This window comes from Homo sapiens, chromosome 2 (genome assembly GCF_000001405.40).
Source record: "Homo sapiens chromosome 2, GRCh38.p14 Primary Assembly".
Classification (NCBI taxonomy): domain Eukaryota; kingdom Metazoa; phylum Chordata; class Mammalia; order Primates; family Hominidae; genus Homo; species Homo sapiens.
In genome coordinates this window covers 65228643-65241912 of record NC_000002.12, presented here as the reverse complement: position 1 = coordinate 65241912, position 13270 = coordinate 65228643, and the positions used below count along the sequence as shown (strand labels likewise).

At 40.2% G+C, this 13270-nt stretch overlaps 1 protein-coding gene across 2 annotated transcripts in view, besides 1 other annotated feature; it reads right to left on the bottom strand.

Annotated features, from left to right (window-relative positions):
- ACTR2 (actin related protein 2) overlaps positions 1-13270 on the bottom strand; it is a 43423-nt gene that overhangs the window by 29341 nt on the left and 812 nt on the right. For both annotated transcript variants that reach the window (NM_001005386.3, NM_005722.4), the window contains exon 2: positions 1951-2061. In NM_001005386.3, coding sequence (NP_001005386.1) covers positions 1951-2061 — 111 coding nt within the window. The remainder of the gene's footprint in view (positions 1-1950; positions 2062-13270) is intronic.
- Positions 13151-13240: an enhancer, noted in NCBI's record as "active region_15927". NCBI's record gives its function as "activates an Ori minimal core promoter by ATAC-STARR-seq in GM12878 lymphoblastoid cells {active_cell/tissue: GM12878}" and the evidence as "EXISTENCE:reporter gene assay evidence [ECO:0000049][PMID:35858748]".

The window sequence follows — 13270 nt, the reverse complement described above, 5'->3', positions numbered from 1 at the left end:
ACTATATTTAATGGAGTTAATAATTAGGGCCAAATTAACATGGACAGTTATTCCTGAATGCAAATTAACTCATTAAACGATTTAAATTTCCATTTTTCAGTCTACCACATTTTAGCTAACAAGACACAAAAAGTATAAGTCAAAATACTAAGCACAGGAATTCCAAAAAGTAAGCTTCTTTAATTCATTACTGAACTTAAGAACTTTAATTAAGAAAAATAAATGATAACAGCAAAGGTCTAGCTGAGTAGGCAGAGTGTTAGATAGCTCAGGGTTGTTTTTCCAAGCTCTAGTGTTCAAGTTAAATTTATTTGACACAGGTATCTTTTGCTGTTTTCTACTCGAAGAATAATTTAACTTGATAGGCTTACAAGATTGCACAGAGTGAACAGAATTGAGCCAATAGAATACAGAATGACAAACCATACAAGCAAATGCTGCTAGGGAATTCCTTGGCAAAAATGTTTTATTAGCATACTGACAAATTTGATTTCTATCACTTGGCCTTAAACACGAAGAAAGTGGGCATGAAGAGATGTGTAGTTATTTGTGCCTATGTTGCAAAATAAATTTATGGCTATACATGATATTTCTTCATACCTCAAAAATTTTATTGTCCAGTATATAAAAAAGCCATTCTTTAAAAACCTGACACTGAATAAAAAGTATAGCCTTCAACTTCATTAAACAGTTTATCCTTATCACTATTATTAGCTAATTTCCAGTCAAAGTTCATTTAAGATAGAATTCATTCAGAATGAAAGGAGTTCACAATAAGCAAGTAAGGAATCCCACAAATATTCCAAAAGCTCCTTAAAAAGGAAAAACTTACACTGAGTGTCCCATTTTATTTTTTTTGTTAACAGGAGAGGCCAGAAAAATTCGCTACTTTAACTCTGAAAAAAAAAAACTAACACAGAACCCAAGTTTCAGCTTGTATTTTTATTCATTGTGTAACTCAACTCTCTATCCCAAAAGCAGAAGGCTACATAGCAAATCTCTACCACCCATTACCACCTTCCTACATAAAACAAATGTCCCAAAGAGATACGCCCTAATGCATATTTCAAATGACTCATAACCTTACACTGAAGGCTTGCTAAAGACTATCCAGATAGGACAAACAATGCTAGCGTGTTCACAAATAATTCACTAAAAAAGACCCTAAATTCTATGGCATTCTGTATAACTTGATCCTTCAGTCACCTGAAGAACTTAAAGCCAACTGGTGACTACTGTCCTCTCACTGTTCTCTTTCTTGTCAAATATTGTAACTCCTACTTGATTTCTGATCCCTTTAATATGGGAGAAAAATCGATCGTCTTTTCATGTAGTCTTTCATCTTAAATACAGCGAGTAGGCAATGAAAACTTTCCTTCCTCTTTATGGTAAGATACATAATCCAAGGCCAAATAAAGGCTTGAATGGCTTCCTTCTGCACATTATGGAAATAAGTTATATTAATGAAAAGAGGAATCAATGAGATTTACACCCTGTGTTTTCCTAAATGGCTATATAAAAAAGTAGAGGGATCAGGCCATAAAAACATGAAAAGAAAAAGTCTAAGGTGCCAAAGAGACACTCACATACAATGACAAATATATGGAATTGAAAGACATAAAAATACCAGGCCGATTTCTTTTAAAAATTATATTATGTAATAGGACTTAAGTCACTAACACAGCGTTTCACATTAATGTAATAAACTTAAGTATTTTACTCCAAAGAGTAATGGCATCAAGCCATACATAAACAAAATCAGATGAAATTAACTTCAATTTTTGTGCCCCTGTTCAGGTGTTGATATAAATTAAAAATATGAGAACTTCTACCCTCCCCTTTGCTTTTCATGGCAACATATTTTAAAACTACTTAAAAGAACTGTTAAACTACTTTTATAAGAACACCTCACATGTCTTGATTATCATTTATCAATAAATAAAATATTACCTTGATTTCAATGTTTCCCACTTTGGTGGTTGATCTGATAATAGGTCTTCCAACCAAAGCTGGGAAGATGTGTTCTGGAAAGTTAGAGCCTGCATATCCACACTTCACAAACTGGAATGAAACAGTAAAATAAAAGTGGGTTAGCATCAGGATATTTACTATATTTTAAGACAGCATCTGAAAAATATCACTTTGCATTTATATAACATTTTAAACTTTTGGTGCTTTCAGTCCACCCGAAGTAGCCACTCAATCTATCGCAACATCTCCTTTTAACTTCTTTCACGGCATTGCCTACTTCCAGGGTTCATGTTTATTTACTGCTAAATTAGTGCCTAAGTTCCCTCACTAGACCAAAAGCCTCATAAGAGCAGGGAGCTAAGCTGAGCAGTTCGTGCTGGAATCCAATACCTAACAGAGCTCCTGGCACACAGTGCTCACTCCAGAAGTATCTGTGGGATGGACAAATTCGCTGAACAAATGCTAAGGTTTTTTTTGTTTTTGTTTTGAGACGGAGTTTCACTCTTTTTGCCCAGGCAGAAGTGCAATGGCACAATCTCGGCTCACTGCAACCTCCGCCTCCTGGGTTCAAGTGATTCTCCTGCCTCAGCCTCCCAAGTAGCTGGGATTACAGGCATGCGCCACTAAGCCCAGCTAATTTTGTATTTTTAGTAGAGACGGGGTTTCTCCATGTTGGTCAGGCTGGTCTCAAACTCCCGACCTCAGGTGATCCGCCTGCCTCAGCGTCCCAAAGTGCTGGGATTACAGGCGTGAGCCACCATGCCCGGCAAAATGCTAAGTATTTTTAGAAAGAGAAATGTGAGAAAATGAACAGAACTAAAGCTTCAATTCTAAAGCAGACTTTCATTCATTTTGGGCAAATCGCTTAGAGAATGTCATTTTCCAAAATGGGAAAACCAAGTGTCATTTAAACTAATATCACCGTATTATGAAAAGAAACATTTATTAGGCATTTTTGGCTATTTATTTCTTTGAGACGGAGTTTCACTCTTGTCGCCCAGGCTGGAGTGCAGTGGCGTGATCTCAGCTCACTGCAACCTCTGCCTCCCAGGTCCAAGCAATTCTCCTGCCTTAGCCTCCCAAGTAGCTGGGATTACAGGCACCCACCACCATGCCCAGCTAATTTTTGCATTTTTAGTAGAGACAGGGTTTCACCATGTTGGCCATGCTGGTTTCGAACTCCTGACCTCAGCTGCTCTGCCCACCTCGGCCTCCCAAAGTGCTGGGATTGCAGGCGTTGAGTCACCGCGCCTGGCTAGCTATTTACTTTTTTTTTTTTTTTTTTTAGACAGTCTCGCTCTGTCGCCCAGGGTGGAGTGCAGTGGCGCCATCCCGGCTCACCGCAAGCTCCACCTCCCGGGTTCACGCCATTCTCCTGCCTCAGCATCCCGAGTAGCTGAGACTACAGGCGCCCACCACCATACCCAGCTAATTTTTTGTATTTTTAGTAGAGACGGGGTTTCACTGTGTTAGCCAGGATGGTCTCGATCTCCTGACCTCGTGATCTGCCCGCCTCAGCCTCCCAAAGTGCTGGGATTACAGGCGTGAGCCACCGCGCCTGGCCCTATTTACATTTTTACATTTAGATAAATATATTTAGTAATACCGGGTAACATAATTTCATTCTCTGTGTACTGCTCCGAGAACATATCATTGTGATAAGACTTCCATTTTATACATAAGAAGCTGATATTCTACAGGATTTAACTACAGTAAAACTTGAGAGAATCAAGAGCTTTTAATACTTTTTTAATTTAAAAAATATTTAAAATTTAGAGTTGGGGTCTTGTATGTTGCCTAGGCTGGAGTGCAGTGGCACAACTGCAGCTCACTGTGGCCTCTAACTGCTGGGCTCAAGTGATGCTCCCACCTCAGCCTCCCAAGTAGCTGGGACTACAGGTATGTGCCACCAGGCCCGAATAAGTTTTTATTTTCATTATTATTTTTTGAGACAGAGTCTCACTCTGTCGCCCAGGCTGGAGTGCAGTGGCTCCATCTCAGATCATTGCAAGCTTGGCCTCCACCGCCCCCGCCCACGGGTTCAAGTGATTCTCGTGCCTCAGCCTTCTGAGTAGCTGGGACTACAGGTGTACCTCACCACGCCCAGGTAATTCTTTTTATTTTTAGTAGAGACGGGGTTTCACCATGTTGTCCTCAAACTCCTGACCTCAAGTGGTCCACCTGCCTCGGCCTCCCAAAGTGCTGGGATTACAGGAGTGAGCCACCACGCCTAGCGTAAGTTTTAAAATTTTTTGTAGAGATGGGGTCTCACTATGTTGCACGGGCTGGTCTGGAACTCCTGGCCTCCAATGATCCTCCTGTCTCAGCCTCCTGAGTTGCTGGGATTACAGACATGAGCCACTGTGCCCGGCAGTTACAAATTCTTGTATAGTCTGTTTACGCTGGGCCCAGTGGCTCACACCTGTAATTCCAGCACTTTGGGAGGCTTAGGCAGGTAGATCACTTGAGCCCAGAAGCTCGAGACCAGTATGGGCAACACGGCAAGATTCCCCCCCGGAAAAAATTACAAAAAATTTAAAAATTGGCCAGGCATTGTGGCATGTGCTATAGTCCCAGCTATTCCAGAGACTGAGGTGGGAGGATCACTTGAGCCTGGGAGGTTAAGGCTGCCGTGATCATGTGAGACCCTGTCTCAAAAAACATACAAAAAATAAATAATACATAGTCTAGTAAGAGCAGACATTGCAAGGAAAGGGCAATTAAAAATTTCAGGGTGGGAGGAGGAAGCTATATAAGAAAGGAAATGTAATCATAGTCTGCACCCTCTTTAACAAGCATTTATTTAATGTTAGCTACACTGTGTTTACTGATGAATTCCAACTGCCTAGAACAGCGTCTGGCACATAATAGGTACACAGTAAATGATCAATAAATATTAAAAGTTTTGCTGTTGACTTAACAGTATGATACCATGATTGTTTTAAAATATATTTAATATTCAGAAAAAGTCTGTTTTTCTATGGCTCCAGGCACCACACATTCTTAGAATTAAGGATGAAAAATAGTACCTGAATGTGATACATGACAGTAATAAAACAAAGGTAGACAGAAAAGAGCAATGTACCTCTTGATAGAAGGCTACTATGCACACCACTTGAATCACATGAGGCCAGAAGTTTGAGATCAGCCTGACCAACATGATGGAAACCCATCTCTACTAAAACCAACAAAAATTAGCCAGGTATGGTGGTGCATGCCTGTAATCCCAGTTACTTGGGAGGCTGAGGTATGAGAATCACTTGAACCTGGGAGGCGGAGGTTGCAGTGAGCTGAGATCACGCCACTGCACTCCAGCCTGGGCAACAGAATGAGACCTGTCTCAAAAAAAACAAAACAAAACAAAACAAAACCCAAAAAAACAAAAAACCAACAACAAAAGAAAGCTACTATCTACAAGAAACTCTTTTGTTTAATGCGGTAAAACTTAGCAAGATCTTATGTAGCTCTCCAAAACATAAAAATTTGGTATTTTCAAAGATCTCTACAGCAGCCCTGTTGGAGATGACGCTGATGAACCACATTTAATTATAAATAGCCTAGGACATTCTGCCATCCAGAATTTCACTTGTCTTTTTTTTTTTTTTTGAGATGGAGTCTCGCTCTGTCACCCAGGCTGGAGTGCAGTGACGTCATCGCAGCTCACTGCAACCTCTGCCTCCTAGGTTCCAGCAATTCTGCCTCAGCCTCCCAAGTAGCTGGGACTACAGGCGCCTGCCACCACGCCCAGCTAATTTTTGTATTTTTAGTAGAGACGGGGTTTCACCATGTTGGCCAGGCTGGTCTCTAACTCCTGACCTCATGTAATCCACCAGCCTGGGGCTTACAGGCATAAGCCACCGCACCCGGCCCCACTTAGTCTTTTAAAAACAGAGTTTTTTCAAATATGTTACAGTCATGACAATCAGATTAAAGCTTTTATGAAAAATTCGTCTGAAATGAGGAAAGTTCACACTCCCAATGCCACCTCAATTCCTATCCTTTCACCTCATGTTTACATTTTATTAATAGAAACTACATAAAACATATTATTCAGATGTCTTCTTACAAGCCCACAAACCTAGTCTTAGTTTATATTGAGCCACCAAGGTAAGGGCATTTTTCAGGTACAGCTATCCATTTCTAAAAGTATAATACAATTCTTTTGGATTATTTTATTTTATTTTATTGAGACTGAGTCTCACTCGGTCATCCAGGCTGGAGTGCAGTGGCGTGATCTCGGCTCATTGCAACCTCTGCCTCCTGGGTTCAAGCAATTCTCCTGCCTCAGCCTCCTGAGTAGATGGGATTACAGGCGCTCGCCACTGCACCTGGCTAATTTTTGTATTTTTAGTAGAGAAGGGGTTTCACCAAGTTGGTCAAGATGGTCTCAATCTCCTGACCTCGTGATCCACTCGCCTCAGCCTCTCAAAGTGCTGGGATTACAGGCGTGAGCCACGGCACCCAGCCTGGATTACTTTTTAAGGCAGAAGTTAGCATGATATGATAGCATATGCAATAGATAACCCACTTGCTCACAGCTATTTCCCCTTGGCAGTGGTTGATAGTGATGAACTGGAATACACTTCCCACCCTTAAAATGAACAGAATTCAGGAGTAGTAGTTCATTTTTTCTCAGTGTCTTCTTAAATAATGTGACCTAAGACATGGAGGAAAAACTACCTCAGAGGAAAAGAATAACATCTAGTATTTTTTAGTATTTTCAAACTAAAACATAACACACACACCACGTGCACACACACACACACACACACCTCTCACACACTCTTCTCTCCCAAATCACAAACTCTCTTTTAAGTCAAAATCCAGTTTACTTGATACAAACTTAAATGATATGGAAGAGAATCTGTTCTCATCATTATCCCTATTGTTCCCACATTTCTGTATAACATCTGTCATGATCGCCAGCCTAATGTCAGTCATAATTTACACAAATATCTCAAATATGGGAATTAAATACTATTTTGATATTAAATTATTATGCCTACCTCCAAGTAATAAACAGATATAGTCAAAAGTATCCATTTATCCGGATGAAAATGCTCACTTATATGCGTATAAATTATCTCAAAAAAATTATAGAATGAATGAATGAATGAAAAGAGAACCTACCAGTTTGTAAGGTTCATTTTTGGCATGCTGAATGCAAATAAATAAGTTTACTAAGTGAGAAATCGTAAGAGAAGCTGGAGGTGGCAGGAGGAGCCTGGGATGGAGCATAGGTCTGATCCTAGTGCAGGGAAGAGGCTGCTAAGGTTGACACGTCTCCCCTCTCCTTCAGAGCTACACACACTGGACATACAACATGGCAAAGTGGCAAATAATCACATCACTCAAAGTCTTCCAATTATAATCGTTCAGATGGGTAGTTCGTATCTTAACATTCTTATGAGTATATTTTAAGCAACAAACATTTCCCAAGTTAGAAGACAAAAACTGAAATCCCTGAAACTATAAAAACAACTGTAAACCTACTATTACTGCCTAACAAAAAAAAAGACTTTTCATTCAAATTAAAGATTATCAATCACTTATTAATAAAACTATTCTGCTTGAGCAGTAGTTTATTGGAAGCAGATGTTGCCATAGAACTCAGCACCAGTTTTCATACAGGGTATATATTCATCCATCAAGATAGCAAAAATTGCACTATTTCACATTACTTCAAAAGTGAAAACATTAACAGTTATAATAACAAGAACTAAAATAATTGGCTGGGAATGGTGGCTCACACCTGTAATCTTGGCACTGTAGGAAGCCAAAGTGGGTGGATTGCTTGGGCCCAGGAGTTCGAGACCAGCCTGAAGCTACAGAGCAAAACCCCATTTCTACAAAAAATACAAAAATTAGCCAGGCGTGGTGACACACACCTGTAGCCCCAGAAACTCGGGAGGCTGAGGTGGGAGGATCACCTGAGCCCAGGGAGGTTGAGGCTACGTTGAGCCTTGAGCCATGATTGTACCACTGCACTCCCACCTAGGCAACAGAGTGAGACCCTGTCAGGAAAAAAAAAGGCTGAGTGTGGGGGCTCACACCTGTAATCCCAGCACTTTAGGAGGCCAAGGCAGGAGGATCATTTGAGGTCAGGAGTTCGAAACCAGCCTGGCCAATATGGTGAAACCCCATCTCTACTAAAAGTACAAAATTGGCTGGGCGTGGTGGTGCATGCCTGTAATCCCAGCTACTTGAGAGGCTGGGGCAGAAGAATCACTTGAACCTGGGAGGCGGAGGTTGCAGTGAGCCGAGATAACATGAATACACTCCAGCCTGGGAGACAGAGTGAGACTCTGTCTCAAAAACAATAATAAAATAAAATAATTAAAAAAAAAATTATACTGGCTACTCTGGGCACACTGCCTATGGGGTAGTCCTGCTCTGCAAGAAGCAGTAAAGAAAAAATAAAAATTATAATTTTTAAATTATATTATTTTTTGTGGAGACAGGGGTCTCGCTGTTGCTCAGGATGGTCTTGAACTCCCAGCCTCAAGCAATCCTCCCACCTTTACCTCCCAAAGTGCTGGGATTATAGGCATCAACCACTGTGCCTGGCCCCAATTTTTCAATAATATAAAACTGACAATCTGATTACTTCTGCAAATAATAATAATAATCAGTATTAAAAAAAATCTAGACTGGGCGCAGTGCTCACGCCTATAATCCCAGCACTTTGGGAGGCTGAGGCAGGCAGATCACCTGACGTCAGGAGTTGGAGACCAGCCTGACGAACATGGAGAAACCACATCTCTACTAAAAATACAAAAATTAGCCTGGCGTGGTGGTGCACACCTGTGATCCCAGCTACTGGGGAGGCTGAGGCAGGAGAATTGCTTGAACCCGGGAGATGGAGGCTGCAGTAAGCCAAAATCATGCCACTGCACTCTGGCCTGGGCAACGGAGCAAGACTCTGTCTAAAAAAAAAAAAAAAACTAAACCATGATGTGATAAAATACAAAGAAAACATTCCTTTCTAAACTATCATTTGGTATCATTGGTATCATCTTAATCCTTGAAATTCCTCCCCCATGTCAATCATTTTAAGACTTGGTGACTTCGTTCTTTCATTGTGTGCAGTAAGGCTGTGTTTAAGAAATAGATTTTACCATATATAGTTTCCTCTTCACAGCAGTGTGGTTTAAACTAGTTCCCTTACTTCCCACTGAGTCATCAAATGGTAAGAATATGAACAGTATAATGTTCTTTCAAGCAAAAATGAAAAATTCTATCTACATCTGCTCTAAAAGTACATTTTTTTTTTCTCTTCAAAAAAATAATAACCTGGGATTTATAAAGCCCCATTTGGGCTTATTTAATATTTATTTTCCCCTTACTAATTTTATCTCATGGTACTGATGTTCTTTAGTAAGTTAACTGCACAGTGACTGTTCTGATCTTAGGCCACCAAAATATTTATTCTACTTATACCAAAGCATTTTGCAAGATGAAACCAAATTTGGTTTTGGTTTGTTTCTGTTTCAAACACTCCTAAATTCAACATATAAAGTAGCATAAGCCCGATAAAGCAGGCCACAATCAACTACAAATGTCAATTACATAAATGCAAATGCAATTATTCTAGCACTATAAGCTTCTCTGTACGACTGGACCTTATTAAGCACTGTGCCAGCAACATAGCACGCACTGGAGAAACCTTCATTTTGTTGGTGATCTAACTCAATGCTGATGAAATCACCCTAGTCTGGTAACAAGACACGTAACACCAGGGGCCTGGGCCTAGCTCGTGAAGAGGACCTAAACCTAGAGTTTCACAGACCTCCAGATTTTCACCTATCTGGGCCACTTTAAGTGGCTTGATTTCAGAAGGAGGTTTGAATGGTTAAAATCCACATAAATTATTGGATCAAATGAGTTTTCCTCCTCTGGGCAACCCTACTGAGACACTGGTCAAGCTGGGAGATAGAAAATCAAGCGGGACCAACATTGGTCATGTGATCGTAAGTACAAACTTGTTTCCAGGCAAACTTGTCCAACCCATGGCCCACGGGCTGCATGAGGCCCAACACAAATTCACAAACTTTCTTAAAACATTATGAAATTTTTTTGGTGATTTTTTTAGTTCATCAGCTATTGTTAGTGTATTTCATGTGTGGCCCAAGACAATTCCTCTTCCAATGTGGCCCAGGGAAGCCAAAAGACTGGACACTCCTGTCCTAGAATATTTAATTTGGGTCTGCCAGAGAGGTTAAAAGAATCGTAACTTTTTAAAAAGCCTGTAATTTTATTTTTATTTTTACTAGATATGGGGTCTTGTTATACTAACCCAGGCTAGTCTCAAACTCTTGGCCTCAAGAAATCCTCTCACCTCGGCCTCCCAAAATGCTGGAAATACAGGCATGAGGAACCACACCCAGCCAGCCTACAATTTTAAAACCTAAGGCATGTAAGGAGCAAATGAAAACACCTTAGGATAACAACTATTTCCATAAATTTGCAAAATTACATCTGAATATCTTCTTTAATATTTAATTATAAAGGAATCATTATAACTTCAGGTATCTAAATAAAATCAAGATGATTATTCATGTCTACAAATGGTAAGAAACAGAATACACAATCTAAGCGGTTCCTAGTCCTCTACATACTCAGAACTATTACAGCATTCCTGTTATATGATTCATGTATTTTAACAGCACTGTTTCTTCATTTGAAACCAATCATGTCCATAGAAAATCTGCATAAAATTTTAAAATAACTAGAAGCATAAGAACAGATAAATTTTATTTGAATTAATTACACTCACTTTTTTCATTTATGACAGGAATTGATCACTTGTCTTAAGGAAAAGAATCTTAAAAACATGGATTAGACACAAGACTAATCAATAACATACTACAATCAGCTTTTTTTTTTTTTTGTGACAGTCTCACTCTGTCGCCCAGGCTGGAGTGCAGTGGCGTGATCTTGGCTCACTGCAACCTCTGCCTCCCAGGTACAAGTAATTCTCCTGCCTCAGCCTCCCAAGTAGCTGGGATTTCAGGCATCAGAAACCACACCCGGCTAATTTTTGTATTTTTAGTAGACACGGGGTTTCACCATGATGGCCATGCTGGTCTCAAACTCCTGACCTCAAGTGAACCTCCTACCTCGGCCTCCCAAAGTGCTGGGATTACAGGCATGAGCCACAACGCCCAGCCTAAAATCAGCCTTCTAATGTTAGCTAACTAATGGAATAGTAACATAACATTAGCTTCTGACAGCAGGGTGCAGTGGCTCAAGCCTGTAATCCTAGCACTTTAGGAGGCCGCAGTGGGCAGATCTTTTAACCCCAGGAGTTCAAGACCAGCCTGGGTAACATAGGGAGACCCAGTCTCTACAAAAATAAAAAAATTAACTGGGTGTGGTGGCACAAGCCTGTAGTCCCAGCTACTCGGGAGGCTGAAGCAGGAGAACCGCTTGAGCCCAGGAGGCAGAGGTTGCAGAGAGCCGAGATCACGCCATCGCTCTCCAGCCTGGGCAACAGAGCTAGATCCTGTGTCCAAAAAAAAAAAAAAAAAAAAAAAAATCAGCTTCGGTTAACATTCCCATTCTAATTTAATATTTAAAAACTCATATATACTACAAATACAGGGCTCATTACCTTGAACCCCTAAAAGAATTCATTAAAATATAACTGGCTTGACTTTCTAAAAAGAGTATCTGACACAATCACAAAACAAAAAATTTTAAATTCAATTTTTAAAGTTTTTTATTTATTTAGAGGCCAATTTGAAACTATAGTGGAAATCAGGCTAATACTTTTTTAAAAAGCACATTTAACTGAATTTTAGCCGCACATGTAACATGCGTTTATGGTTAATTTAGTTTAAATATAGTTTAATAATACTTGCTTTGTTCAAATAAAGAACATTTTTCCAATAATTCAGAAAGGTCATGAAGTCCTCTCCATCTTCCCTCACTCCCTTATCCTCTGTCTCATAGGTAACCATTATGAACATTTCTTATGTATCCCTCCAAAACTTTCATATGCGGATACAAGTTTGTGGACATACATCTTTAATAAGGAACACACACTTAAACTGAATCATTCTAAAACCTTTTTCAACTTAAAATCTTAGACGTTTCCATAGCAGTGGATCTGCCTTTTTAAAAATATTACATTCTTAAAAACCGTCACATTAATATGTTTTGTTTTTCTTTTTTTTTTTTTTTTTTTTTGAGACGGAGTCTTGCTCTGTCGCCCAGGCTGGAGTGGTGCGATCTCGGCTCACTGCAACCTCCGCCTACCGGGTTCAAGCGATTCTCCTGCCTCAGCCTACCGAGTAGCTGGGATTACAGACGCCCACCACCATGCCCGGCTAATTTTTGTATTTTTAGTAGAGACGGGGTTTCACTATGTTGGCCAGCCTGGTCTCAAACTCCTGACTTCAGGTGATCCGCCCGCCTAGACCTCCCAAAGTGCTGGGATTACAGGCATGAGCCACCGCGCCTGGCCTCAATGTACGTTAACACTCTTTTTACTCTAGTCCATTTTTAACACAGTTCAGATGAAGCTACCATAATTATTGCTTGTAAAATTGTGTAACAAATCTAATCAAGGGCAGTATTATGGCAGTAAATACCAGCTCTTTTCCCCCTCAACAATTCAGATTCCAAAGTGTTTTGTTCAAGTAAAATGAACTTTAATTCATACATCATATTTATGGGAGGGAGGGGAGAAAACTCACAAAATGTTGCAACATCAAAATGGTTAGAAATCACTATAGAAGTCATCCAGAATAAATAATATTTCCATCTTCTAATTTGCTGACTTTGCTACCCAAAATACATTTTTTTTTAATCTGGCAAGAGGGAGGTCTGAATGAAACAATTTTTTTTTTTTATAATTGAGACGGAGTTTCACTCTTGTCGCCCAGGCTGGAGTGCAGTGGCGCAATCTCGGCTCACTGCAACCTCCGCTTCCTGGCTTCAAGGGATTCTCCTGCCTCAGCCTCCCAAGTAGCTGGGATTACAGGCAAGCACCACCACGGCCGGCTAATTTTTGTATTTTTAGTAGAGACCGGGGTTTCACCACGTTGGCTGGGCTGGTCTCGAACTCCTAACCTCTGGTGATCTGCCCGCCTGGGCCTCCCAAAGTGCTGGGATTACAGAAACAATTTTCAAATAGTTTCTAAATCAGTGCTTTAGTCAGATTTTACAATTTTTGAATCTTAAAGGCTAACATTACCTGTATACTGAAACGAAGGGAAAAAAGGGGGCTGGGGGTGGGATAATCAACACTAATTAACTTCCCCTAAGGCTAGTGGAATTAACACTTGAGTCTTGC